Source organism: Homo sapiens, chromosome 19 (assembly GCF_000001405.40).
Source record: "Homo sapiens chromosome 19, GRCh38.p14 Primary Assembly".
Lineage (NCBI taxonomy): Eukaryota > Metazoa > Chordata > Mammalia > Primates > Hominidae > Homo > Homo sapiens.
This window is the reverse complement of record NC_000019.10, coordinates 5,665,116-5,690,032: the sequence shown is the minus strand read 5'-3', so window position 1 is coordinate 5,690,032 and position 24,917 is coordinate 5,665,116. Positions and strand designations below refer to the sequence as shown.

General features: G+C 56.1%; 3 protein-coding genes and 1 long non-coding RNA gene across 23 annotated transcripts in view, besides 14 other annotated features; 1 reads left to right on the top strand and 3 right to left on the bottom strand.

The window, feature by feature from the left end:
- Positions 17-66: an enhancer, noted in NCBI's record as "active region_13810". NCBI's record gives its function as "activates an Ori minimal core promoter by ATAC-STARR-seq in GM12878 lymphoblastoid cells {active_cell/tissue: GM12878}" and the evidence as "EXISTENCE:reporter gene assay evidence [ECO:0000049][PMID:35858748]".
- On the bottom strand, positions 1,511-9,006 carry HSD11B1L (hydroxysteroid 11-beta dehydrogenase 1 like). Of its 10 annotated transcripts, NM_001267868.2 has the most exons (9): positions 8,762-9,006; positions 5,912-6,011; positions 5,128-5,252; positions 4,914-5,044; positions 3,506-3,617; positions 3,042-3,133; positions 2,658-2,751; positions 2,365-2,530; positions 1,511-2,280 (listed from the first exon to the last, which is right to left on the bottom strand). In NM_001267868.2, the coding sequence occupies exons 2-9, from the start codon at positions 5,998-6,000 to the stop codon at positions 2,088-2,090; spliced, it is 1,002 nt and encodes a 333-aa protein (NP_001254797.1). In that variant the 5' UTR covers positions 6,001-6,011; positions 8,762-9,006; the 3' UTR covers positions 1,511-2,087. The 10 variants fall into 10 exon arrangements, with proteins under 10 accessions (NP_001254797.1, NP_941995.1, NP_940935.1 ...); NM_198706.3 differs by lacking the exon at positions 5,912-6,011 and having other exon boundaries at positions 5,128-5,214; NM_198533.3 differs by lacking the exon at positions 5,912-6,011 and having other exon boundaries at positions 1,511-2,117; positions 5,128-5,214.
- Positions 1,818-2,317: an enhancer, noted in NCBI's record as "H3K27ac hESC enhancer chr19:5687727-5688226 (GRCh37/hg19 assembly coordinates)". NCBI's record gives its function as "activates a minimal SCP1, AML or CMV promoter by ChIP-STARR-seq in primed H9 embryonic stem cells {active_cell/tissue: H9 hESC(primed)}" and the evidence as "EXISTENCE:reporter gene assay evidence [ECO:0000049][PMID:30033119]".
- Positions 2,495-2,554: a silencer, noted in NCBI's record as "silent region_9929". NCBI's record gives its function as "represses an Ori minimal core promoter by ATAC-STARR-seq in GM12878 lymphoblastoid cells {active_cell/tissue: GM12878}" and the evidence as "EXISTENCE:reporter gene assay evidence [ECO:0000049][PMID:35858748]".
- Positions 2,795-2,944: a silencer, noted in NCBI's record as "silent region_9928". NCBI's record gives its function as "represses an Ori minimal core promoter by ATAC-STARR-seq in GM12878 lymphoblastoid cells {active_cell/tissue: GM12878}" and the evidence as "EXISTENCE:reporter gene assay evidence [ECO:0000049][PMID:35858748]".
- Positions 3,015-3,274: a silencer, noted in NCBI's record as "silent region_9927". NCBI's record gives its function as "represses an Ori minimal core promoter by ATAC-STARR-seq in GM12878 lymphoblastoid cells {active_cell/tissue: GM12878}" and the evidence as "EXISTENCE:reporter gene assay evidence [ECO:0000049][PMID:35858748]".
- Positions 8,829-9,038: a silencer, noted in NCBI's record as "silent region_9926". NCBI's record gives its function as "represses an Ori minimal core promoter by ATAC-STARR-seq in GM12878 lymphoblastoid cells {active_cell/tissue: GM12878}" and the evidence as "EXISTENCE:reporter gene assay evidence [ECO:0000049][PMID:35858748]".
- Positions 9,089-9,558: an enhancer, noted in NCBI's record as "active region_13809". NCBI's record gives its function as "activates an Ori minimal core promoter by ATAC-STARR-seq in GM12878 lymphoblastoid cells {active_cell/tissue: GM12878}" and the evidence as "EXISTENCE:reporter gene assay evidence [ECO:0000049][PMID:35858748]".
- Positions 9,517-11,611, top strand: MICOS13 (mitochondrial contact site and cristae organizing system subunit 13). 4 transcript variants are annotated; one of them, NM_001308240.2, is made up of 5 exons: positions 9,517-9,575; positions 9,783-9,978; positions 10,270-10,447; positions 10,637-10,688; positions 11,385-11,611. In NM_001308240.2, exons 2-5 carry the CDS (start codon positions 9,884-9,886, stop codon positions 11,480-11,482), a joined length of 423 nt encoding a protein of 140 aa, NP_001295169.1. In that variant the 5' UTR covers positions 9,517-9,575; positions 9,783-9,883; the 3' UTR covers positions 11,483-11,611. The 4 variants fall into 4 exon arrangements, with proteins under 4 accessions (NP_001295169.1, NP_991330.1, XP_011525977.1 ...); NM_205767.3 differs by lacking the exon at positions 9,783-9,978; XM_011527675.3 differs by lacking the exons at positions 9,517-9,575; positions 11,385-11,611 and adding an exon at positions 10,803-11,135.
- Positions 9,569-9,668: an enhancer, noted in NCBI's record as "active region_13808". NCBI's record gives its function as "activates an Ori minimal core promoter by ATAC-STARR-seq in GM12878 lymphoblastoid cells {active_cell/tissue: GM12878}" and the evidence as "EXISTENCE:reporter gene assay evidence [ECO:0000049][PMID:35858748]".
- Positions 9,689-9,768: an enhancer, noted in NCBI's record as "active region_13807". NCBI's record gives its function as "activates an Ori minimal core promoter by ATAC-STARR-seq in GM12878 lymphoblastoid cells {active_cell/tissue: GM12878}" and the evidence as "EXISTENCE:reporter gene assay evidence [ECO:0000049][PMID:35858748]".
- Positions 9,799-9,908: an enhancer, noted in NCBI's record as "active region_13806". NCBI's record gives its function as "activates an Ori minimal core promoter by ATAC-STARR-seq in GM12878 lymphoblastoid cells {active_cell/tissue: GM12878}" and the evidence as "EXISTENCE:reporter gene assay evidence [ECO:0000049][PMID:35858748]".
- Positions 10,289-10,428: an enhancer, noted in NCBI's record as "active region_13805". NCBI's record gives its function as "activates an Ori minimal core promoter by ATAC-STARR-seq in GM12878 lymphoblastoid cells {active_cell/tissue: GM12878}" and the evidence as "EXISTENCE:reporter gene assay evidence [ECO:0000049][PMID:35858748]".
- A 92-nt stretch (positions 11,612-11,703) lies between the features above and the next one.
- Positions 11,704-17,225, bottom strand: LOC107985320 (uncharacterized). 2 transcript variants are annotated; one of them, XR_005647045.2, is made up of 4 exons: positions 16,652-17,225; positions 14,964-15,125; positions 14,694-14,811; positions 11,704-13,312 (listed from the first exon to the last, which is right to left on the bottom strand). It is a non-coding gene; the product is annotated as an uncharacterized LOC107985320 (long non-coding RNA). The 2 variants fall into 2 exon arrangements; XR_007067107.1 differs by having other exon boundaries at positions 14,052-15,125.
- Positions 20,706-21,206: an enhancer, noted in NCBI's record as "H3K4me1 hESC enhancer chr19:5668838-5669338 (GRCh37/hg19 assembly coordinates)". NCBI's record gives its function as "activates a minimal SCP1, AML or CMV promoter by ChIP-STARR-seq in primed H9 embryonic stem cells {active_cell/tissue: H9 hESC(primed)}" and the evidence as "EXISTENCE:reporter gene assay evidence [ECO:0000049][PMID:30033119]".
- Positions 21,369-22,283: an enhancer, noted in NCBI's record as "H3K27ac-H3K4me1 hESC enhancer chr19:5667761-5668675 (GRCh37/hg19 assembly coordinates)". NCBI's record gives its function as "activates a minimal SCP1, AML or CMV promoter by ChIP-STARR-seq in primed H9 embryonic stem cells {active_cell/tissue: H9 hESC(primed)}" and the evidence as "EXISTENCE:reporter gene assay evidence [ECO:0000049][PMID:30033119]".
- The window catches only part of SAFB (scaffold attachment factor B), a 45,396-nt gene continuing 42,033 nt past the window's right edge, over positions 21,555-24,917 (bottom strand). For 5 of the 7 annotated variants that reach the window (NM_001201338.2, NM_001201339.2, NM_001201340.2 and 2 more), the window contains 4 exons: positions 22,869-22,987; positions 22,583-22,686; positions 22,147-22,213; positions 21,555-21,871 (listed from right to left, as the gene is read on the bottom strand). In NM_001201338.2, the coding sequence (NP_001188267.1) occupies positions 21,742-21,871; positions 22,147-22,213; positions 22,583-22,686; positions 22,869-22,987 (420 nt within the window). In that variant the 3' untranslated portion in view covers positions 21,555-21,741. The remainder of the gene's footprint in view (positions 21,872-22,146; positions 22,214-22,582; positions 22,687-22,868; positions 22,988-24,917) is intronic. The other 2 variants (NM_002967.4, NM_001320572.2) reach the window with 1 other exon arrangement.
- Positions 22,284-23,198: an enhancer, noted in NCBI's record as "H3K27ac-H3K4me1 hESC enhancer chr19:5666846-5667760 (GRCh37/hg19 assembly coordinates)". NCBI's record gives its function as "activates a minimal SCP1, AML or CMV promoter by ChIP-STARR-seq in primed H9 embryonic stem cells {active_cell/tissue: H9 hESC(primed)}" and the evidence as "EXISTENCE:reporter gene assay evidence [ECO:0000049][PMID:30033119]".

Below are 24,917 nucleotides of genomic sequence, written 5' to 3'. Positions count from 1 at the left end.
CCCTGCATCGACGACATCACCTCTCAGAATTTCTTCACTTGTAGAGCGGGAATAATAATACCAAACTGTATGAACTGTTAAAACGCCCATTAGGCCGGGCGCGGTGGCTCACGCCTGTAATCTCAGCACTTTGGGAGGTCGAGGCATGTGGATCACGAGGTCAGGAGCTCGAGACCAGCCTAATACGGTGAAACCCCGTCTCTACTAAAAATACAAAAAATTAGCCAGGCGTGGTGGTGGGCACCTGTAGTCCCAGCTACTCGGGAGGCCGAGGCAGGAGAATGGCGTGAACCCAGGAGGCAGAGCTTGCAGTGAGCCGAGATCGTGCCACTGCACTCCAGCCTGGGCGACAGAGCAAGACTCCGTCTCAATAAATAAATAAATAAATAAATAAATAAATAAATAGCCAGGCGTGGTGGCATGCTCCTGTAATCCCAGCTACGCAGGAGGCTGAGGCAGGAGAATTGCTTGAGCCCAAGAGGCAGAGGTTGCAGTGAGCCGAGATCGCACCACTGCACTCCAGCCTGGGCGACAGAGCGAAACTCCATTTAAAAAAAAAGGTATTGGTTTTGTTATCAATTGGTCAAGCTCTAGACTAGGTCTGAATACAGCAACGTGTAATAGTGCCCCTTGCGGACATCTGATGTAATTTAGGTGGTGTAGGGACGGGACGCTAAATAACTGAATCGGGTGGCAGAAACACACAAGTTTCCAGTTTTTCTCCTTTAATGCTACTAATATACAAGAAGAGAGTCTCAATTTAGGGCTGCTCTAATTAGGGTTAGCGCTTTCATGTTTTTTCCAGACAGGGTCTTGCTCTGTCGCCCAGGCTAGAGTGCACTGCTGTAATCATAGCTTATTGTAGCCTTGACTTCCAGGGCTCAAGTGATCCTCCTGCCTTAGCCTCCTTAGCTGGGACCACAGGCACATGCCACCACGCCTGGCTAATTTTTTAATTAAAATATTTGTTTGTGGCCGGGTGCAGTGGCTGACACCTGTAATCCCAGCACTTTGAGAGGCCGAGACAGGGGGATCACCTAAGGCTAGGAGTTCGAGACCAGCCTGGCCGACATGGTAAAACCCCGTCTCTACTAAAAATACAAAAAGTCAGGCGTTGTGACCCACACCTGTAATCTGAACTATTTGGGAGGCTGAGGCACAAGAATCGCTTGAACCCCGGAGGCAGAGGTTGCAGTGAGCCTAGATCGCACCACTGCACTCCAGCCTGGGCGATAGAGTGAGACTCCGTCTAATAAATAAATAAATAAAGACAGGGTTTCACCATGTTGGCCAGGCTGGTCTCAAACTCCTGACCTCAAGTGATCTGCCCACCTTGACCTCTCAAAGTGCTGGGATTATAGGCGTGAGCCACTGCTCCTGGCCCTCTCAGCCTCCATTTCCCCACCTGTGAAATGGGATTGAGAGTCAAGGCCCCTGATACACACACCCCCTCCCGCTGCCCGCTGGCTGCTAGCAAATTGGAATTACCAAGGAATTTGAACAACAGATATGCAAGAGAAGAAGAGTTTTTATTCTCGAACAAGAGGCTGGGTCCAGCTCAGAACACACTCTTTCCCTCCTCCTCCCGCTCAGACCCTGCCACCAGGTAGACGAACAGTGTAGACGCCCCTGCAGGTGTGAAGAGTACCAGAGACCCCAGCTAGGGGAAGCTGGCAGGAGTTGGGGGGGTTCCTCCCAGATGGAATGAATGGAAAGAATAAATCAGGGACTTAAAGGCGCAGGCAGGAGATGGAGAGGGGTCCATGGGTGGCTCAAGGGTGGCGTGGCCTCTCTGAGCCTTAGTTTCCTCATCTGCAAAATGGAAGCAGTCACGTCATCAATCATGGCCAAACAGGTGAGGCCTTGCAAGTCCCCGACAAAGGCGCCTAACACGGGGCACCTGCACCTCCCAAGCCGTGACTGGTTCCAGGTGCCCGTCGTTTTTCTCGGTTTTGCTTTTCTGTCTTGATGACTTCATCTTGGGCTGTGGCCACCCTCTCAGGGGTGTCTCTGTGAGTGTTCTGGCTCCAGGGACAGTTGGAGGGAGGAACATTGCCGTCTGGGACTGGAGGGGCACCCCCCGGTGCTCAGGCTGCCGCGGCCGTGACGTTGAGCTCCTGGCGGATAAACCAGGCCCGCGGGCGCGGTAGCCAGCGCCGGAGCAAGCACAGCAGGCGGAAACGCCACGGGTAGAAGACGCCGGCCGCGCGCGTGGCGCCGCCGCGGATCACGGCCAGGGCTGCCTTGGGCCCCGGGGCCGCCTTGACCCTCGTGACTCCCCTGGGGACAGGAGGGCACGGTGGGGACTGCGGCTGGGGCTGGGCCATGGCCCCCAGCCCAGCCCCCAGCTTGTCCGGGCCTCACCTGACTGCCTCGGCGGCGGAGGCGCGATCTCGGAGGCCCAGGACGCACATGGTGATGGCCACGTTCACGTCCTGCACGTCCAGCTCCCGCCGCAGGGAGCCGAAGAAGCCGTCCAGCGCAAACTTGGCCGCCGAGTAGGGAGTGGAGAACGACGTGGGCACGCGGCCTGGGGGCGCGGACGGCAGCGGCTGAGTGGCTCCCCCTCGTCCGGGAAGCCTGCCCAGACCCTCCAGGCTCACCCGCATCGAGCTCCCCACTCCCCGTCCCGCAGAGCCGGGGCCGGGTGCACGCACCGAGCAGCGAGGACACCACCACCAGGGAGCCCTTGCTGTCCGTCAGGCTGGGCAGCGCCCGCGACGTCAGTTGCACGTAGCTCACAAAGTTTACCTGCAGGCGGCACTCGCGAGTCACCGGCAGAGGCGGAGCCCAGGGGCAGGGCGGGGCCAGAAACCCAGAGGGCGGGGCCAGGGCCGGGTCAGAGACGGGGCCAGAAACCCGGAAGGCGGGTCCGAGGGCGGGGTCAAGGCCGGAGCAGGGGCTTGGGCTAGGAGGGGCGTGGCTGGGGCGGGACGGGTGGAGAGCCCTCCCTGGAGAAGGCAGAACCCGGACCGCGAAGGGAACGGACCACCGGTCCCTGAGATAGAGGGGCGGGCCGGGGCCGCGGAGGAGCGGAGCACCTGCATGAGCCAGCGAGTTGCCTGGGGGCTGCGGGCTCGCGTGCCGGCCGGGGCGCCGCCGATGTGGTTCAGCACGAGGTAGTCCAGCCCGCCTGGCCCAGAAACGCCGGTCAGCCCCGGAGGCCCCTCCCCAAGGAAACGATCAAACCCCGCCCCCGAGCTTAGCTCCACCCAGAGCGCTGGTCCAGCGAGCTCCGCCCCAGGTAACTCCCACTACGATCAAAGACACCCAGCCTTGGCCTTACACCCTGGATCTAGCAAGGTTTGGTTCCCATTCAACGAGGCCCCGTTCAGAGCTCTTCCCCCAGACGCAATGAGACTCCACCCCGCCCACGCCCCCAGTCCCCATTTGTCTCCGCCCTGAGACACCTGTTACTGTGGCCACACCCACAGCCCAATTCTGGTCCTGTCCCTAAGGCCTAGGCCACGGTCCCGGACTCCAGGCTTCAGGCCCAGCCCCTCACCCAGCTTGTCCAGCGCAAACTGCACCACGCTCTCGGGCGCCTCAGGGGAGGCCATGTCCGCCGCGATGTAGAAGACCTTGGGGGCGCCCAGCTTCCGGCAGTTCCCTACCACCTGGGGGGGGCCAGAGCTGCCCGTGGGCCTCTCCTCTACAGCAGCGCTTCCCCCTCCACCGCACCTGCTGGCCATAGGGAGGCCCCCGCCTGAAAACCCCCCCCTACTCTGAGCCTCGGGACCCATTCAACATCATTCCCAAAAATTTACCACTGCTTGAGGGGCGCAAAGTGGAGGCCCGCGGGCCAGAATGCTGGCCAATTTGGTGGTTAGTCAATCACCAACATCTAAAACAGGACATTTCATCTACAATTTCCTGATTGCTAGCTTCTCTTGAAATATTGAAAGGTTTGTGCCCAAGAGCCATACCCTTCCTTGAAGTAGCAATGGACTGCTTGTTGCTAAGAAGTGCCCATCCTTCCCTTCGAGTTTAAGAACCCTGGCTATCAGCACAGGCCTGGACACTCAATACTCTCATTTGTTAAGAAACACTGCATCTTCTAGTCACCGTCTCACTGCATTGGCACAACATCCTAACCCATGAGAAGGTGGGTTTTTTTGTTTGTTTGTTTGAGACAGAGTCTCACTTTGTTGCCCAGGCTGGAGTGCAGTAGTGCGATCTCGGCTCACTGCAACCTCTGCCTCCGGGGTTCAAGTGATTCTCCTGACTCAGCCTCCCATGTAGCTGGGACTACATGCTCGCGCCACCATGCCCTAATTTTTTTTTTTCTTTTTTTTGAGATGGAGTATCGCTCTGTCACCCAGGCTGGAGTGCAGTGGCGCGATCTCAGCTCACTGCAACCTCCACCTCCCGGGTTCCAGCAATTCTCCCGCCTCAGCCTCCCCAGTAGCTGGGATTACAGGTGCCTGACACCACGCCGGCTAATTTTTTATTTATTTATTTTATTTTTATTTTTTGTATTTTTAGTAGAGACAGGGTTTCACCATGTTGGCCAGGCTGGTTTTGAACTCCTGACCTCAAGTGATCCATCCGCCTTGGCCTCCCAAAGTGCTAGGATTACAGGCATGAGCCACCATGCCTGGCCTAATTTTTGTCTTCTTAGTAGAGACCAGGTTTCGCCATGTTGGCCAGGCTGGTCTTGAACTCCTGACCTCAGGTGATCCACTTTCCTCGGCCTCCCAAAGTGCTGACTACAAGCGTGAGCCACCGTGCCTGGCCAGAAAGTGGTTTTATTGTCCCCGTTTTGCAAATGAGGAAACTGAGAGGCTCAGAGAGGTTAGGCGACTTGCCCAAGGTCACACGGGAAGCCTGGATCATTGCAGGGATTAAACCCAGGCTCTCTTCCCACCCCCCATGAGCACCCCCACCATTCATCTAGACATGGGGTGGCTCACCTTCTGCAGGAGAGCCTCAGTGTGGGCAGTGAGCACCAGGTGGGAGCCCAGACGCGCGTAGTGATAGGCCAGCTCCTCACCAACACCAGCGTTGGCCCCTGTCAGCAGCACTCGCGCTCCCTGGAGGCTGGCTGGCCATAGCCGGGGTGGTCACTCTGGGCGGAGGACAGGACAGCTGGCCCGGTTTCTCCCTCCCTCAACCCCAGGTGCTCACCTGGGTCGAAGTTGTCATCCCAATAATAGGCGAAGAACAGGGCCCCCAGCCCTGTGAGGAGAAGCACCTTCATGGTCCTGTGTGGGCCTGCAGAGGGACAGGGGACAGAGGTGGCCGGCACAGGCCTGGCCCACAGCCACCCGTGTTTGGTGGGTGTTTGGTGATGCCACCGCCTTGGATCCACGCCTTCCTATCCACCTCCACAGCCACCACCTGTCCAGGCCACCACGGTGGCTCCATGAACCACCGCGGCTCCATGAACCACCGCACCTGCACCCTCCCCCTCCACCCTTCTCAGCCCTCTCCATCTGCACACCTTGCCTCTCCTGGACTGAAAATCCTTCCTGTTCCAGTTAGAATAAAAACCAGACTCCTTGGTGGCTACAAACGCCCTGTGTGGACCTGTCCTCCTTGCTCACTCCGCTCCACTAAAACAGACCCTTCGCTGTTCCTTGAAACCAGCCAGTCACTATCCTGCCTCAGGGCCTTCTCGTGGGCTGTTCCTACTGCCTAGAATGCTGTTCCCGGATATAACCCAATGGCTTGCTCTCTCACTTCTTTCAAGTCTCAGTGCAAAAGTGACCTCCTTCAGCTGGATGTGGTGGCTCATGCCTGGAATCCCAGCACTTTGGGAGGCTGAGGCGGGCAAATCACTTGAGATCAGGAGTTCGAGACCAGCCTGGCCAACATGGTGAAACCCCATCTCTATTAAAAATACAAAAATTAGCCGGGCGCGGTGGCAGGCGCCTGTAATCCCAGCTACTCAGGGGGCTGAGGCACGCACATGCCTGTAATCCAGATATTTGGGAGGCTGAGGCAGGAGAATCGCTTGAACCTGGGAGGCAGAAGTTGTAGTGTGCCGAGATTTGCCATTGCACTCCAGCCTAGGCAACAAGAGCGAAACTCCGTATCAAAAACAAACAAACAAACAAAAAAAGAACAGTGACCTCCTTCAAGTGAGGGCCTCCTTTTTTTATTATTTATTTTTTTATTTTTATTTTTTTTTATTTTTGAGGCAGAGTCTCACTCTGTTGCTCAGGCTGGAGTGCAGTGGTGCGACCATAGCTCACTGCAGCCTGGACCTCTTGGGCTCAAGCAATCCTCTTGCCTCAGCCAATGGAGCAGCTGGGACTACAGGTGGGCGCACCAGCACACCCAACTAATCATCGTATTTTTTGTAGGGATGGGGTCTCACTATGCTGCCCAGGCTGATTTTGAACTCCTGGGCTCAAGTGATCCTCCCGCCTCAGCCTCCCAAAGTGCTGGGATTACAGGTGTGAACCACCGTGCCCAGCCCAAGGACCATTTGTTACTCGTTCCACCATCCTTCTCTCCCTGTAGACCATCAGCTCCATAAGGGCAGGAAGGAAATGGAAATCTTCTACTTTGTTCCCTATTGGGTCTTCAGGGCCCAAAACTGTGCCAGGTACACAGTAGGTGCTCAATAGGTACCAGATTGATCATGGAGTGATATGAGGCACGTGGGAGGCGAGAGGTGAGGAAGCCAAGAGACAGCTCGCTCTCTGGAGACACCCAGAAGGCATTTGACACATGGGGCTGGGTTGGAGACAGAGGTGCCTGCGTCATCCAGATGAAGATATGATTTATGATTTCAGCTATGGGAGCTGATTCACTAATTCCAGGGAGAAGGTGAAAGAGAGAAACAGTCCAGGTTCTTTTTTTTTTTTTTTTTTTTTGAGACTGAGTTTCACTCTTGTTGCACAGGCTGGGATTACACTTTGTAATCCCAGCATTTTGGGAGGCCGAGGTGGGCGGATCACTTGAGGCTGGGAGTTCGAGACCAGCCTGACCAACATGGAGAAACCCAGTCTCTACTAAAAATACTAAATTAGCTGGGCATGCTGGCACATGCCTGTGATCCCAGCCAATGGAGCAGCTAGGACTACAAGTGGGTGCACCAGCACGCCCAACTAATCATCGTATTTTTTGTAGAGATGGGGTCTCCTGCTGAGGCAGGAGAATTGCTTGAACCCAGCGGGGTGGAGATTGCAGTGAGCTGAGATCGCCCCACTGCATTCCAGCCTGGGCAACAGAGTGAGACTCTGTCTAAAAAAAAAAAAAAAAAAAAAAAAAAGTCAATGGGACAAGGGGAAGGGGACTTCCAGAACCAGGAAGCTGAGACAGACCAGATGGAGCGGATCATTGAGGAGTCCCTAAATCTCCCATCTGTAGGTCCAGCCCTAGGTTCTTTGCCTCTGCTGTCTTCTGGGTGTCTCCTCCTGACAACCTCCAGGCCCCTTAGAACCAGCAGGACCCAATCCAGGCTCAGCATGTCACCCCATACCTGCTTCTCTTCCCAGCTCACCATCACAGAAATAGCCCCACTATCCCCTGTCCCTAAATGGGAGACCCAGGTATTGTCCTCACCTCCTTCTATCCTTTCACCCCCACGAGCTCATGGTTTTCAGATCTTATCAGTTCTCCCTCTCCAGTCTCTCCCCAGCTGTCCCTTCCTCTCTCTCTCCAGGACTCCCAGATTGTCACCTCCCTCCTAGACCCTACCCCGGGCCTGACCACCCCCATCTTTCCTTTGGCCTCCCTTCCATCTCCGATTTGGTCTCCCCCACCTCCACACTGGCTTCCCCATGTCCATACTCATTCTCTCCCTGCCTCTTCTGTCAATGCAGCCAAAGGCGTCTGTGTCAAAAGCAACATGGCCATGGCCCTTCCTGCTCCAAACCCTCTCAGGGGTCCCCACTGCAACTGATGGAAACCAGGCTCCTCACTGCACCCCATGAGGCCCTGCAGGTATAGCCCCTGACTACCTGTCTATCCTTCTCTCCCACGGCCCCATCTATGAATCGTTCAGTTCTCAAAATAATGAACTCCTCACCTTTCCCAGACACACCAGGCATGCCCACAGCAAGAAACGAGCTTCCACCTTTTCCCCTTCCAGGGACAGCCCATGAAGCTCCTCTGCTCATCCCTCTTTCCACCCCCAGCTCTACACTGACTGCAGCAGCCCGGCAGGGGGAAGTGGGACCAGATGGACTGACGGGTGGACGGATGGGTGGATGGATGAATGGATAGATGGACAGATGCATGTATGGATGCATAGATAGAAGGATGGATGGGTGGATGGCCAGATGAATAGATGGATGGGTGGATGGATGGATGATGGACGGAGAGATGTATGGGTGGATAGATGGATGAGTGGATGGATGTATGAATGGATAAATGGGAACACATAAATGGATGGATGGATGGATGGATGGATGGACGGACGGATGCATGGATGGATGGATGGATGGATGGATGGATGGACGGATAGATGAGTGGGTGGCCAGATAAATAGATGGATGGGTGGACAGATGGATGAGTGGAAGGATGGGGGGAGCAGATGGATGAATGGATGGGCGGACAGATGGATGAACGGAAGTGTGGATGGATAGATGGAAGGATAGATGGGTGGATGGCCAGATGGATAGACGGGTGGGGGACAGATGGATGGATGGGCAGATGAACGGTTGAAGCAGCCCGGCCGAAATGCGGGAGAAATGGGGGGAAGCCCTGCAGAACGCATCGGCCCCTTCTTGACCTCGGCGGGCCTTAGCTTCCCCTCTGAACAAAGCGGGCGTGTGACCCTCTGCGCACCCCTAAACCGTGCACTCACCCGCTCAGGCCTCAGTTTCCCCCACTGTCCAGCGGGGGTGGGGTCCCGGGCTGGGAGCCACGCGAACGCCCCCACGGTCCTCTCTTCTCGGCCGCCTCCTGCCGGGTCCCCGACCGCACCCCCTCCCGTAGGGCACGGGTCACGTGACTCGAAGCCCACCTCCTCCCGGGGAGGGGCCGGGCCTCGGGGACCCAGCGCCGGAGCGTCGCCGGGCAACAGTGCCCGCCTGGTCTTCGCCTCCCAGCAGGGGCCCGGCCCCGCCCACTGGGCGGACGCCCCGCCTCCGAATCGATCACGTGAGGGGGCCGCAGCGCTCGAACAATCCCGCCCTCTCGTTGCCGTGACAACCGCCTTGTAGGCACACTCTTCTTAAATCCGGGCCCTTGGTCCCCCGCGCGGGCGCGGGTGGATCTCTCGGGCTCTGACTTGTTTTCGGGTCACCTTCAGGCTTCAGCCAGGCACCTGACGCCTCTTTCCCCTCACGGTGCCAGGGCCGGGCCGAACTACATTTCCCAGGAGGCTCCGCGGCCAGGTGCAAACAGCGCCGTGCTGACTACATTTCCCAGACAGCCTTGCGGCGGCCCGGGCCTTAAAGCGTCCATTTCCCAGCGGCCCTCCGCTGCGAGACCGCAGCCCTTCTCTGGAGTCTCAGAGCCGCAAGACACCACGACTCCCAGAGGACCTTGCGTCGGGCAAGAAAGACTACACCTTCCAGAGGCCTCTGCGGCGCCGCGACAGGAAGCGGCGGGCGAGCCGAGTGTCCTTGCGCGTGGATCCGAGCGACCATGGTGGCCCGGGTGTGGTCGCTGATGAGGTGCGTGGGGGCGCCGGAGGGGACCCGAGTCCCCGAAAAAGTCCATTTTTGTGGGCATCCCTGTCTCCAGTCTGGTCCCGATCTGCTCTTCGCTTCCCTTAGAGTCACTTCCCCTTCGTTCCCCGCCTATGGGCCAGATAGGGAAACTGAGGCTTCAGAGGGGCGGGGCTTCCCGAGGTCGCCAATCCCCTCCCTCCTGCTTCCCAGCGAGCCCTTGGCGTTCAGTTCGCGGTGTCAGCCTCCGCCTCCGAGCCTCAGTTGTCTTCTCTGTGAGGTGGGAATGCCGGTGAATCCTGCCGCTGGCGTGGATGAGAAGTGAATGCGTGCTCGGAGCTGCGAGTGACAGCGGGCAGGAGGCGCCCAGGGACACTTGGTTTCTCCAGGGCTGGAAGGCTTCTAGAAGGTCAAGATCTTACGTCTTCACTGCCCCTGCTCACTGTGGGACTTTGAGTGACCCACTCTCCCCCTCTGGGTTTCAGTTCATCAGTTCAAGTGGCGTCCAGCCGCCCTGCCTTGCACGTTGTAAAACGAGTGCTGTATATAATAGGGGTCTGGGTCGACGGTGCTGCACTACAGAGTGTCACCCTGTGGACGGTGAGCCCTCAGGAGGGTCTCACTCTCCCCGTGGGCCTTGGCCCCTGAGGGTGGCTGTCAGTGTCCGCTGAGCTTCTGCTCCTCCCGTCCCTGCCCGCAGGTTCCTCATCAAGGGAAGTGTGGCTGGGGGCGCCGTCTACCTGGTGTACGACCAGGAGCTGCTGGGGCCCAGCGACAAGAGCCAGGCAGCCCTACAGAAGGCTGGGGAGGTGGTCCCCCCCGCCATGTACCAGTTCAGCCAGTACGTGTGTCAGCAGACAGGCCTGCAGATACCCCAGGTACTACGGGCCGGGAACGAGGCCAGGGTTTGGCGGGTGGTCAGCTCTGGGAGGTCCCTCCAGCCCTGCACGATGTTGTCCTCCATATTGATGCTGACCTGATTCTCCGGCCTGTCCTCCTCCCTCCGCCTCTGGGGATGGGCTGCTGAGCCTTTTCACCAGTTCTTTCTGCCCATCTCTTTTTCCCAGCTCCCAGCCCCTCCAAAGATTTACTTTCCCATCCGTGACTCCTGGAATGCAGGTAAGGCACCCAGTTTCTTTGCTTGGAGGGAGACACCCCAGTCTAGCCCCTCTCCCCACTTCCTGGCCATTCCTTTCTGTCCATCCTCCTTCCTGCCCGACACGTGTCTCTTAGGGATCTAAAAGGGAAAGGAGGCCGAGCACAGTGGCTCACGCCTGTAATCCCAGCACTTTGGGAGGCTGAGGTGGGCGGATCATCTGAAGTCAGGAGTTCGAGACCAGCCTGGGCAACATGGTGAAACCCCATCTCTACTAAAAATACAAAAATTAACCGTGCGTGGTGGTGCACACCTGTAATCCCAGCTGCTGCTTGAGAGGCTGAAGCAGGAGAATTGCTTGAACCCAGGAGGCAGAGGTTGCAGTGAGCCGAGGTTGCACCACTGCACTCCAGCCTGGGCGACAGGGCGAGACTCCATCTCAAAAAAATAAAATACAAAAATTAGCCTGGTATGGTGGCGCACTTGTAGTCCCAGCTACTTGGGAGGCTGAGGCAAGAGAATCGCTTGAACCCAGGAGGCGAAGGTTGCAGTGAGCCGAGATTGCACTACTGCACTCCAGCCTGGGAGACAGAGTGAGACTCCATCCCCGCCCCCCACCCACCCCCCACCGCCCAAAACAAACTCTAGAGTTTCCCAGGGGTTGGAGGCTGGGTGAGGCTGGGAGGGGAGTATCACCAGTGGCCGTCCCTTTCCCACAGGCATCATGACGGTGATGTCAGCTCTGTCGGTGGCCCCCTCCAAGGCCCGCGAGTACTCCAAGGAGGGCTGGGAGTATGTGAAGGCGCGCACCAAGTAGCGAGTCAGCAGGGGCCGCCTGCCCCGGCCAGAACGGGCAGGGCTGCCACTGACCTGAAGACTCCGGACTGGGACCCCACTCCGAGGGCAGCTCCCGGCCTTGCCGGCCCAATAAAGGACTTCAGAAGTGTTCCCTGACCCGTGTGCTGGCCCCAGGGAGCACAGGGTTGGCCTGGTGGTGCCCAGAGCACCGAGGCCTGGGCTTCTGGCTCCTGATGGCTTGTCAGGGCTTGACCTTGACCACAGGCCATAGCACTCCCCTTTGCCGTCTGCTCTGGTGCGGGGAGTCAGAGGTCAGAGCGGCTGCTCCCGGTGCTCCAGAGGCTGTGCTCTGGGGCCAGGAAAGTGCTTTGGCCAAGCCTGGGTTGTGGAGGGTCTTGGTTTTGGAGGGCTGAGACCAGGGTAGGACAGTGGAAGAGCCAGAGTGGATAGAAGTGGGGTCTGCTTCCCTGCGGGACACAGGGCAGGAGCCCCCAGGGCCACTGGTTCCTGCCCTCCTCAGCTCCTGTCCGCAGTCCTGTCCCGGCCCTTCCTTGGCCGGACTCCACCCTCATTCCACCCTCTCCCGACAACCCTAGCAGGGGAATCCTGGTCATTGAAGGAAATCCAGGTGTTTGTTGCCATTCAGAGGGTCTCCCGGACATTGCCTCTCCCCTGGGACGCCTTCCCTGACACCCCTGCCGCACACTGGCCAGGCTACCTGGCAGCCTGCATGGTTCCCCCGCATCAGGCATGAGCCCTGGGAGGCTCCCAGCACCCAGCCACAGAGGGCGATCCACGGGGTTGGGTGATGGCAAGAGGCCTGTGCCCAGAAACCAGTCTGGTGGCTCCAGACACATGGGGGTGGTGGGGAGCTTGGGTGGGGCCAGAGGCCTCCGTAGGATGCTGCCCTGGGAGCAGGGAGCAGACAGGTGATGCTCACCGAGCTGGGACAGGGTCCCCGTTCCCATGAGTTCAGGGGTTTATGTTGCTTGGTATAGGGAACTGAGCTTAGGAGGGGACAGCTGTTACAGAGGAGAGGAGCAGAGACTAGAGGCCGGGGCATCTCCCCCACTGTCCCACTCAGAGAGGAGAAGCCACTGGCCTGAGCAGGGCGTAGGAGGGGTGTGGCTGGGAGCAGCGGCCTAGTCTGGTAGAAGGGGAGTCCACAGGGCCTGCCCACCCCATTCCCCCCAGGAGCGTGGTCCCGGGACAGGTCCCCCACATCTGATATGCCCCTGTCCTTACTGGGCCTTAGCAGTGGTGGGGGCAGGTCTAGGGTGAGGGAGGGATGAGCAGGGCAGGGGAGCATCACTGACCCTCAGTGCTGCAGGAGGAAGCCGGTGCTCGCCGGAGCACCCACGCACTCACTGTCCCCTGACACTGTCCACCAAGTCCTTCCCGAAGGCCCAGGAAGGAGCAGACTGCAGGCCCATTTTACAGACGAAGAAACTTGCACAGACAGACAGTTCTGTCTGCCCAGCCTGTCCGGAGCCCAGGCTGTTCACCACAAACCCTCGCAGGGGATGCAGAATTTCTAGTCGCCTCGCACCCAGGCACCCAGCCCCAGCCCCAGCCCCAGCCTGTGAGGACAGGAGGGGTTTGCACTCGGTGCTGTGATGCCATGGCTGGGCCAGAGGGCGTCCGTCCGCTCCAGGAGGCCTCTGCAGCCTCACACCTGTTACCGTCACTGTTAGAGGGGAAGGACTGGACGAGGCCAGTGAGCAGCTGCTTTCTGGCCCCTCCCCTCCATCCAGGCGGCCGGGTCCTGCAGCTCCACGAATGTGGCTTAGTTCTTCCCTGGGGTCACAGGCTTTATCCCATGAGTTCGTCCTCACCCATCCACTGGCACCTGTGTGCAAGAACATGCCTGGGGTCAGGGGAGTTGGGGGGCCATGGAAGTGGAGCTCCAGAAAGCAGAGGTGGCTGAGGCAGGTCTAGGGGTGACTTTGGGAAGGCGGGAAGGGGCTGGGGAAACACCTGACCACACCCACAGCCAAGACCACAGAGCAAGGCAAGGCTGGCATGTGGCACAGTGCCATTTGACAGCTGGGGTCACTCGATAGCTGGAAGCAGGACGGGCTAGGAACGGAGTCCAGGGAAAGCTAGCCCATCACGATGTGGGCTGGGCAGAGCTAGAAGAGAGAGCAGGGGGAGTCCATAGGCGGAGGCCAGCTGGGGCTGGGGCGTGGGGGACACCGAGTGGCTGCCCTTCCTTTCAGCTGTCACCACAGCTGCCCGTGGTCCCGCTCCAGCCTTGAGCGCACTTTGCCCGGCCCTGGCCTGGAGTGAGTGCTAACTCGCCATCCCAAGGAATGGTGGGTGCAGCAGAAATGGAGGTGATTAGCTGGGTGCGGTGGCATGTGCCTGTAGCCCCGGCTGAGGCAGGAGGATCACTGGGACATTGAGTCTGCAGTGAGCCATGACTCCACCACCGCACTCCAGCCTGGGTGACACAGTGAGACCCTGTCTCTTAATAATAAAGCCAAGGTAACCAGGAGCAACGTGAGCCCTGAGGGTCCCCAACCCTGACTGGGGGGATGCTGGGCTCAGGGTCTCCATGGTACCAGCCCAGAGCATGTTCAGCCCACCTTTGGCCCCATCCATCCGGTGCCATACGGGCCAGCGGCAACCTGGCTTCTCCCCGTGTGGGCTGAGTGCTGAGCAGCCAGTTTTAATTAAATCTGAAAGGACAAGGTGACAACCGAAGCAGCTGACAGCCACGCGTCTTCCCATCTAACATGGTCCTGGAAATGAGTTTGCTGTCAGTAGACATGTAGGATTTTATAGGCTCAGAATAGGGGAGGGGCAGGCCATAGATAGTATCAGAAAGGGCAACATTCGACTGGTTAAAAGGCATTGTTCAGAAAGAATCAACCAGGAAAGGGTGGGCAAACAGGAACAGAAGTTCTCACTCTGGGTGGTGGGTTTCCTCCAGGACCAGCAGTCTGGTCTTTCAGCTTTTGGGCTATTTTTGGCTTGAAGGTGGGGTTTCACTGGGACCTGTCCCTATCTGCCTAGACACTTGGCTGCCTCCTGTCACTTTCAGTAGTGATCCCAGTGAACTTGGGCTTAAGAGCTGCTCTACGCCTTGGCGGAATTCAGTTTTTGGAGCTGGAGGGAGAGGGAATGCAGTTCTGTGATGGCGCCTTCATCCCGAAATCCTAAGAGCAGCTCAGTAGCCTCATTTTACAGGTCAGCAAACGGAGGCTCAGAAAACTGCAAGAACTTACCTGGAGGCAGGCGATGGCAGAGGCAACAGTGGAAGCCCTGTGCTCTGACCCCTCTGCTGGCCTCTGGTGGCACTGATGCCACCGGAGGGCTGGTGTCCTTCATCCCCAGGGGTGGTCTCTGGAAGAAGGAAGAGGCAGGCCAAGGGGAGGGGTGGTTTCCTTGAGGCTGAGGCTGAGGCTGAGGCTGGGAGAGAACTTCCAGGCCTCAACCCCCACACCATCTCTGCATTCCAGGGGCACCAGGTCCCTGCACACCCTGCCTCATCTCACCTTGCAGGAGAGTAAGACCCCTCCCGTCCTCATCCTGGCAGACTCCTCTCCTACAGGCAGGGTCACCATGCCCCTGTTCTGAGGCACAGTTCAGCACCTTTTCTTCTCCTTGGGCACCACAGTTTGCGTTTGTGTGACTTAGCTCAACAGGATGCAGGCTCCCTGAGGGAAGGGACCATATGTTAATAGTAGGCGTGTTCCCAAACCCCAGCATAGAGCCTGGGGTATGGAAGATGATTAGTAAGCATGGGCTGGGCGCAGTGGCTCATGCCTGTAATCCCAGCACTTTGAGAGGCCGAGATGGGTGGATCACCTGAGGTCAGGAGTTCCAGACCAGCCTGGCCAACATGGCAGAACCCCGTCTCTACTAAAAAAAATACAAAAATTAGCCGGGCGTGATGGCACACGCCTGTAGTCCCAGCTACTGGGGAGGCTGAAGCAGGAGAATCACTTGAGGCAGAGGTTGCAGTGAGCCGAGATTGTGCCACTGTACTCCAGCCTGGGTGACAGAGTAAAACTTCATCTCAAAACTAAATAATACTAATAATAAGAAGAGGCCGGGCGCGGTGGCTCATGCCTGTAATCCCAGCACTTTGGGAGGCCGAGGCGGGCAGATCACAAGGTCAGGAGATCTAGACCATCCTGGCTAACACGGTGAAACCCCGTCTCTACTAAAAATACATAAAATTAGCCAGGCGTGGTGGCAGGCACCTGTAGTCCCAGCTACTCGGGAGGCTGGGGCGGGAGAATGTCATGAACCCAGGAGGTGGAGGTTGCAGTGAGCCGAGATCGTGCCACTGCACTCCAGCCTGGGCGACAGTGTGAGACTCTGTCTCGAAAAAAAAAAAAAAGAAAAAAATAATAAAAAGATGATGATTAGTAAGCATGGATGAATTAATGGATGAGTATAGTCAATGGCTTGATGGATTAATGAGTGGATGGGATGAGTGGTTAGATGGGTAGATGCATGCATTCATGGGTGAGTGCGTAGATGGATGATGGGGTAGATGGGTGGGTAGGTGGATTGGGTGGATAGGTGGGTGGGTGGATGGATGGATGGATGACTGGGTGGGTGGATGAATGGATGGATAGATAGGTGGATGAATGGGGTAGATGGATGGGGTGGGTGAGTGGATGGATGATGAATGGATGGGTATGTGGATGGATGGATGAATGGATGGATGGATGGGTGGGTGGTTGGATGATTGGGTGGATGGATGGATAGGTATGCATGGGTTAGATGGAGGATGCATGGGTTAGATGGAGGATGGATGGATGGGTGGGTGGTTGGATGATTGGGTGGATGGATGGATAGGTATGCATGGGTTAGATGGAGGATGCATGGGTTAGATGGAGGATGGATGGGTGGTGGGTAGACGGGTGGATGGATGGGTGGTGGGTAGACGAGTGGGTGGATGGGTGGGTGGGTGGATAGATGGATGGGTAGGTGGGTAGGTGGATGGACGGATGGGTGGTTGGGTGGGTGGTTAGGTAGGTAGACAGATGAATGGATTAGATGAAGGATGGATGGATGGGTGGGTGGGTAGGTGGGTGGATGGATGGGTGGGTGGGTAGGTAGGTGGGTGGATAGATGGATGGGTGGGTGGGTAGATGGGTGGATGGATGGGTGGGTGGGTGAATGCGCTGGTGGATGGATGTATGAGGACTGGTTTGTCTACTCCACTTACCCACAAAGCAATGGTCCATCTTGGTTCAGAGAGTCTTGCCAGTGAAGGCCTGCTGTTGGGGAGAGCCTAGCATTGTTGGGCTGGCTGCCACTAGAGGCACGGCCAACAATGAAGACGTTTCCCTGGCTGAGGTGCAGGCCGAAGTGGACACTCATGTACGTTGCCGTGCTGAAACTAAGGGCAAGGTCTATCCCTCTGGGACCTGGGCTTCAGCTGCTTCCTGGAGACACGTGTAAGGATGGGGACCAGATTTGGAGGGAAAAGACTCCTCTTACTGTATAGAACAACCTCAAGAGACCACCAAGTAGCCCATGGCCAGAGACTTTTCACTCCCAGAGTGTTAAAAATACATGGTGCTGTCCCCTGTGGCCATTCCCCTCTTCCCCCACAGCCTTCTGGCAGTTTCTCCCACAAGTTTGCTCCTGTTGGCCTCAGAGCCTTCAGTGTGTTCCCCCAGCCAGGAAACGCCTCCATTCCTTCTGTGGCCAGGGCAACCTGTACCATGAAGCTGCACTTCCTTTTATTGAGATGGAGTCTTGCGCTTCTCCCCCAGGCTGGAGTGCAATGGCGTGATCTTGGCTTACTGCAACCTCCACCTCCTGGGTTCAAGCGATTCTCCTGCCTCAGCCTCCTGAGTATCTGGGATTACAGGCGCGGGCCACCACTCCTGGCTAATTTTTGTATTTTTAGTAGAGATGGGGTTTTACCATGTTGGTCAGGCTGGTCTCAACCTCCTGACCTCAAGTGATCTGCCTGCCTCAGCCTCCTGAAGTGCTGGGATTACAGGTGTGAGCTACCGCACCTGGCCTTTTTTATTTTTTCGAGATGGAGTTTTGCTCTGTTGCCCAGGCCGGCGTGCAGTGGCATGATCTCGGCTCACTGCAACCTCCGCTTCCCGGGTTCAAGCGATTCTCCTGCCTCAGCCTCCTGAGTAGCTGGGATTACAGGTGCCCACCACTGTGCCTGGCTAATTTTTTCTATTTTTAGTAGAAGCGGGGTTTCACCATATTGGCCAGGGTGGTCTCGAACTCCTGACCTTGTGATCCGCCTGCCTTGGCCTCCCAACGTGCTGGGATTACAGGTGTGAGCTACTGCGCCTGGCCTAAGCTGCACTTCATAAGCTCACCACATGCACGTGTGCCCACCTTGAGGGCAGGCACTGATTGGGTCTGTTGTGTGAACACATCTGGTCAGTGCCGGGGACCCTGCTTGAGAGGCGGGCTGTGGAAATGGGAGTTGAATGAATGGGTGGTTCGAAGCTTGGATCTTTTCCACTGCCAGTTGATTGTCCTCACTCGTCAGTTCACCCTGCTAGGCATCAGTTTTCCTGTCTGCAAAATGGGGTTGTACAGCCTCCCGGGGTTATATTGAGGATGGTGGGGAAGAGCAGGTACAGCTCAGTGCCTGGCTGACAGCAGGGCTGAATCCCCGTCCTTCCCTGTGTAGCAGGACAGCAAGGGTGCTGCCTGGGCATTAGAAGTAGAACATCCCATGCAAATGACTCAAGACTGTGGCCGGGGAGAAGCACTCCGAGGCATCTCTCCTGCCTAGGAGACTGGGCTGCCTGCGTTGCCTCGTGCCTGGAATCCTAGCACATTGGGAGGCCAAGGCAGGCGGACTGCTTGAGCCCAGGAATTCAAGACCAGCCTGGGCATGATGAAACCCCATCTCTACAAAAGATACAAAAATTAGCCAGGTGTGGTGTCACCCACCTGTAGTCCCAGCTACTGGGCAGGCTGAGGTGGGAGGATCGCTTGAGCCCAGGAAATGGAGACTGCAGTGAGCTATGATTGCACCACTGCACTCCAACCTGGGTGACAGGAGACTGTCTCTCACACACAAAAAGCTTGTAGCAATTTGTTACAGCGGCCCTAGAGAACTCCATAACTGCCATAGATTCTGATTCGTAGGTCCATGTAGGTGATGCAGTTAGGGTTTAGAATCATTGCTGTGGGCATTTGGTTCTTACAGGTACAGTGTCCAATCTGTGCCCTCAGTTTTCTCTTCTGTTAACTGGGGCTGATAATGACACCTGGGAGGAATGTATGAGGCCATGTAAAGCAGTTAAATGGGAGTCTGGGCCAGGTGCAGTGGCTCATGCCTGTAATCCCAGCACTTTGGGAGGCCGAGGGAGGAGGATCACGAGGTCAGGAGATAGAGACCATCCTGACTAATACGGTGAAACCCCATCTCTACTAAAAATACAAAAATTTAGCTGGGCATGGTGGCGGGTGCCTGTAGTCCCAGCTACTTGGGAAGCTGAGGCAGGAGAATGGCGTGAACCTGGGAGGCGGAGCTTGCAGTGAGCTGAGATCGCGCCACTGCACTCCAGCCTGGGCAACAGAGCGAGACTCCGCCTCAAAAAAAAAAAAAAAAAAAAAAAAAAAAAAAAAAAGAGTCTGTAGGGACATGCCCCAGATGTTCACAGACCTCATCTCTCTCTGCTAGTGGAATCTGTCATTTCTTTCTTTCATTTCTTTTTTTTTTTTTTGAGACGAAGTCTTGCTCTGTTGCCCAGGCTGCAGTGTGTGATGGTGCGATCTTGGCTCTGCAACCTCCACCTCCTGGGTTAAAATGATTATCCTGCCTCAGCCTCCTGAGTAGCTGGGACTAGAGGCGTGCACCACCACACCCAGCTAATTTTTGTATTTTTAGTAGAGCCAGTGTTTCACCATGTTGGCCAGACTGGTCTCAAAATCCTGACCTCAGGTGATCCACCCACCTTGGCCTCCCAAAGTGCTGGGATTACAGGCCGGAGCCACCGCACCCAGCCCGTCATTTCTTATTTCAAAAAATACCCCCTAAAACCCAAAGAAATGGGGTCTTGGTATACTGTCCAGGCTGGACTTTAACTCCTGGCCTTAAGCAATCTTTCTGCCTTGGCCTCCCAAGTAGCTGGGATTGATTACTGGCATGCACAACTGCATATGGCTCAAAAAAAAAATGGGGCCGAGTGCAGTGGCTCACACCTGTAATCCCAGCACTTTGGGAGGTCAAGGCAGGCAGATCACCTGAGGTCAGGAGCTTGAGACCAGCCTGCCCAATGTGGTGAAAACCCGTCTCTACTAAAAATGCAAAAATTAGCTGGGCATGGTGGTGGGCGCCTGTAGTCCCAGCTACTCAGGAGGCTGAGGTAGCAGAATTGTTTGAACCCAGGAGAGAGAGGCTGCAGTGAGCTGAGATCGCACCACTGCACTCTCCAGCCTGGGAGACAGAGGGAGACTCTGTCTCAAAAAAAAAAAAAAAGTACAGAGAATGTGAACAGCTTGAATTTAAAAAAAAAAAAAAAGGTACGAGGGGAAGGCTGAGAACGTGGTTGCTGGGGGTTACCACTGGGTTCCTTCCCGGATGTCACATCCCTTCTGAAGAGAAACATTCCGTCTTCGCCAGGGACGGGTTGCAAGAAAGGCGAGCACAGGACCGAGTTCTGGCTAAGGAGCCTCAGGGGTAAGTTTGCCAAGAGGCCTGTGAGTTCAAGTCCCCGTTCCTGCCCTTCCTTCTCCTGCTGGATAGCCCCGATGATGCCCACACTGTGGGTGGATAGGATTTTTGGAGCTGTTTCAGCCATCCATCATCCATGAGAGTCCCAAAATCCTCAGAGAAACAGAGCCTGAGGTGGGCTGCAGTGAGCCCCGGGAACTGCCTACCTACAAACTTCCCGTTAAGGCAGGAAAGGGCCCCCCTTTACCATCTAAGCCACCACTGGTATTGGTGGGGTCATCTGTCCTTTGCAGCTGAAGGGACCCTAGAGCGTTACTGGGGCTCCGCCGTCTTCCTCTCTGCTGGACACTGCTTCCTCCCCGCTCTCCACTACAGTGAGGCTTACAAAATGGGGGAGGCACTTGCTTCACAGTTTGAGGTATGTCCCAAGTCTGGCCTGGCTTCCTGGATTAGGACAGGTGCTGGATCCCAGATGCCGTGGCTCCAGCTTGCTGCTGGTGTGTGGAGGGTTGGCGTTGGGCTCGTCCCTTCCGGCTGACACAGAGGCCAGCCCTGGGCTGGTCAGAGCCCCATCCTGGCACGAGGGGGCTGAGCCTGTGCACAAGCACGCCTCGGGCCTGAGATGCTGCTGATGACCTTCAGCCTTCACTGCTTCCACCCGACTCTGCCGTGAAAATAGTTTGTCCTCTGAGTAAAAAGGTAATGCGGAAGCATCCACATGATGATGGTGCCTGGGCTTTGGCAAGTCAGTGTGGAGAGTGGCAGCTGGAAATCTTCGCAGGCTTGGTTCGAGTGTGATCCGCAGGGGAAGCATCCGCCAGTGTCCATCAACAGGGTTTGAGACCCCCACACCCTGACAGGGATGCCACCCAGTACCCAAGAGCAAAGCAGCCCGGTCTGTGCTAACATTAAAGGAGAACTCGGTGACTTGAGAAGTCAGGCAAAACCTGCACCGCACAGGCCCATTATGCGAAAACCAATCACTGTCTCACTGGAAAGCCTCTTCCACACCCGGATGCCTTCCCAGAGGTTTCACACATATTTAAAAATAAACAGAGTCGGCCTGGCGTGGTGGTTCACGCCTGTAATCCTACCACTTTGGGAGGCCAAGGCGGGCAGATCATGAGGTCAGGAGTTCAAGACCAGCCTGACGAATATGGCGAAACCCCGTCTCTACTAAAAATATAAAAATTAGCCGGGTGTGGTGGCAGGCGCCTGTAGTCCCAGCTACTCGGGAGGCTGAGGCAGAAGAATCACTTGAACCCTGGAGGTGGAGGCTGCAGTGAGCCAAGATCGCGCCACTGCACTCTCAGGCCTGGGTGGCGGAGCGAGACTCCATCTCAAAAAAAAAAAAAAATAATAATAATAATTAAAAAAAGGAACAATCAGTGTATATCAATACAACTAAAAGTCTAATTTCGTTTCATTTAAAGAGGCAGAAATAAAGAAATGACACTTTAAATAAAGGGTATGTGAACGGAAACACATTTATTACAAAAAAAAAAAACCCCAAAACGAAAAACAAATTCACATTGTATTGAGCTACAATATGGCAGCAGATTAAAAAAAAATATTTTTACACAGTTTAAGGTAACTCCTAACAGAACATAGCCTTGTTGCCACGAGACAGGACACAGGATTCCAAGTACTCAGTAGCGGCGAGTGAAGCGGGCATCGCTGGGCCTGCTCCCCCGGCTCTGGCCTCCAAACCCGCCCTGCATGCCACCGTGTGGGATGGGGTGGCCCCGGGAGGCCCCGCCTGGGGCAAAGCTGCCGCGCCTAGGAACAAATTCACATTGGTTTGACTGCGAAGTCCTCCTGCTCCCCGGCCCATCCCAGCCTGCACAGCTTCCCTGAGTGTTGCCTGCAGGCAGGGCCCCTTCCTAATGCCCTCCCCTCCTGAGTGGCAGCAGCCTCCACAGTACCCCATGCCTGGCCTCACGTCACCCTTGGGGGGAGGGGCACTAGCTGGAAGGACTTGGTTGTTAAGCCTCCAGCAAGGTAGGCCAATATGCAAAGCAGGGGGAAGGGGCGCCGCCCCCAGCATGCCTTACCCTGACATTCCTCCTCGGTTCATCATGTGGCCAGGCCCGGAGTGACCGGACATGCTTCTCTCGCCACCTGGAAGACAGACGTGCTTTCACACAGGGAACTTGCGCACACGGCGTGGAACCCACGGCACATTTAGCCCACTCCACTCCCTTTGGTGAGGCCCCCAGGTACCCACAACTAGCGGGTCCCAGGAAGACACCTGGGCACAGGGACCATAGACGTCCAGCTTCCTCCCAGCAGAGAGAACTCGGGAACGCCCACTGTCCAACTCCTGGGCCAGACCACCAGAGAGCAGGCGGTGTCTGGAGTGCTCTTCATTCCTCATTCCAGCACTGAGAGCAGAGCACCTCCTGTGCTCCCCCAAGGAGAGAAGGCGCGGCCTCCATCTTTCCATCACTCCCCAGCACATCCTGGTCCCAGCCCAGAGCTGCTCCTCACCTTGCCACCTCTTGTGATCCCTGTCCATCATGCCCCCGTCGGCCGTGCCCTGCCATGACCGGTCATCCTCTCTTCGGCCATGGTCCCCCCAGTCACGTCTGCCCCTTGAAAGAGAGACATCTCTGATTTGGATTGCCCCCATCTCTGGCTCTTGTGCTAATAACTGTGGCGGCTTCTGGAGAGTGAATCCCTCTGTGTTTCCCACCCTGTGCCCACATCCCAGCGACTTGCGGGCCCCCTTGTGGGCGGGGGGGGGGTCAGGTACTGTCGGGTGTGGGACACAAACCTGGGGGGAGGAGGCAGCCCCCGGCCCTCGCTCATCCTCTTGTCAGAGCCATAGCCCCCCCAGCCATCGCGGGAGTCCCGGCCGTGGCGCTCTGGTCCTCCATGGCGTTCTGGGTAATGCTGGACATCACAGAGCCAGAAGGGAAAAAAAAGCTTCAGTGTCAGCGCCCAGACCCCAAGGCTTTTCAGGCAACATGCTAACGATGACAACGACAGTCACTCGGGACAGAAGTGCTGGCAGGCTGTATCGGTTCACACAACACAGCTGCCTTCCTGAAATCTGCAGGCCAGAGGCCCTGTGCCCTAGGCTCATGGCCTGGTACAAAAAAGGTACTAGTACCAAGGCATCTCCAAGGCAGGTCCCCACAGCACCACCAGAGCTGGGAGGGCCACCAGGAGTCACCCACTAAAGATGATGCTTACAAGAGAGATTCCCTGGGTCCCACAGCTCAAATGGTTAGTTCCCAGAGCCAACAGTATTCTCTTACTGTCTTCTACTAAAGAAAGGTCAGGTTTATAAACCTTTAATGTGTGCATATTCTGGAAATAATTTTTACAAATTTCTTCCTTCCACAGTGAAGGAAGTATCAAATGGAGCCCTTCATCCGACCAATTGCTAGGCAAGCATCCTTCCTCACAGTCAAGTTTCTCGGAAGTTTCTGCTGGATGCCCAGTCCAGGGTCTTGCACCTTGCTCTGCTCAGGATATAAGACACAGGACACTGAGAGATAAACGGCTGGCCTTCCACTTGGCTAGTCCCACCTTTCCCTCTTCTGTGTCATTGTTTTTGTAAGCCACGTGGCTAACACAGACCAGGAGTTCTTGACCCTGCTGTTTCAGGGAAGACCAAGAGAGGGCGAGTCACACTCTATGCCTACTTATTTGATGGCCAAGGTTAATATTTACACCCACAGCCTATTTCTGTGGCTGGAAGCACTTTCCAGCCTGACTTTCACAAAAGCTAGTGAGGTAGCTTTGGCTCCACAGTCCTGTTTTTTCTCTTTCCACCAATACATATGTGGTCTCTGGGGTTTTTGCCCCATGACCACATTGTAGGTGAAAGGAAACTAGAAAGGAGTCCTGGTAAGGAAACCCCCTTGACACAGGCTGGTTGTTGTCCATGTCCAAGTTCACCTCCCCGTTCAACGGAGAGCTCTGCCAGGGTGAAGGGAGAGATGGCGGCATGCTCCACCACGTGCACGATGTCCCACGTTACCACTGCCTGCTTCCTGGCCTATCCTCCCAGCATGTGCTCTGATGCCTCCCCTCAACAAAGTAAGAAAAGGGACTCCTGAAATAAGCTCTCCTTAGTATTTGAAAATTGAACCAACATTTTTCTGTCCAACCAACCCACGTAACTGTTCAATGAGGCCCATAAGTTCTGTGCTAGTTTTCTCTGTAGGGAGATGTTACCATTTCCCTTTGGGGTAACTCTGACGACTCATTTATGACTGTGTATGTGAGGAGAAGGGATCAAACCGCGTTCCACTGTTAGGAGAGCATATCTAACACCTTCATGAAAGCAGCTGGTGGCCAGGTGTGCTGGCTCACATCTGTAATCCTAGCACTTTGGGAGGCCGAGGTAGGAGGATCACTTGAGCTCAGGAGTTCAAAACTGGCCTGGGCAACATAGTGAGATCCCGTCTCTATTAAAAAAAAAAAAAAGTAGCTGGCAATGATAAACACGTTTGTACAGATGCGCCCACCTCATGTAAACCCCCACCACCGCACCCTTTGTAGGAGGAATATTACCCTCATTTCACTCCTGGGGAGACAGGCTCAGCAGGAAGGGGTGACACCAAGGTGTGACGCCAGTTCTGATTCTGGAGCCTTTACATGGAACCATTGGTGTATGCTCCTCCACCAAAGAAAATCCACAAGACTAGTTCTACGTTTTGCTGCATATAATTTGCCTCCAGGAGCAGGGAAAAAGGAACCCCACGAGGCTGATGGAATTCCTGAGGATCCCGAGACAGAGCTGAGTACTTGGCTATGCTCAGCCACATTAAGGAACCAAGGGGGACAGAAGCGGGAAGCTTATGGTGGAGTC

Excerpts from the sequence above, each read along its gene's own strand:
- HSD11B1L (NM_001267868.2), bottom strand. The coding sequence starts at position 6,000 with ATGGCAAATCTCGGCACACTACAACTTCTGCCTCCCAGGTTCAAGCGA. Across the intron at positions 2,531-2,657 it reads GGTGGTGTCCTCGCTGCTCG|GCCGCGTGCCCACGTCGTTC; the intron begins GTGCGTGCACCC and ends CCGCGCCCCCAG. Across the intron at positions 2,281-2,364 it reads TCCGCCGCCGAGGCAGTCAG|GGGAGTCACGAGGGTCAAGG; the intron begins GTGAGGCCCGGA and ends TCCTGTCCCCAG.
- MICOS13 (NM_001308240.2), top strand. The coding sequence starts at position 9,884 with ATGAGAAGTGAATGCGTGCTCGGAGCTGCGAGTGACAGCGGGCAGGAG. Across the intron at positions 10,448-10,636 it reads CAGGCCTGCAGATACCCCAG|CTCCCAGCCCCTCCAAAGAT; the intron begins GTACTACGGGCC and ends TCTTTTTCCCAG. Across the intron at positions 10,689-11,384 it reads CCGTGACTCCTGGAATGCAG|GCATCATGACGGTGATGTCA; the intron begins GTAAGGCACCCA and ends CCTTTCCCACAG.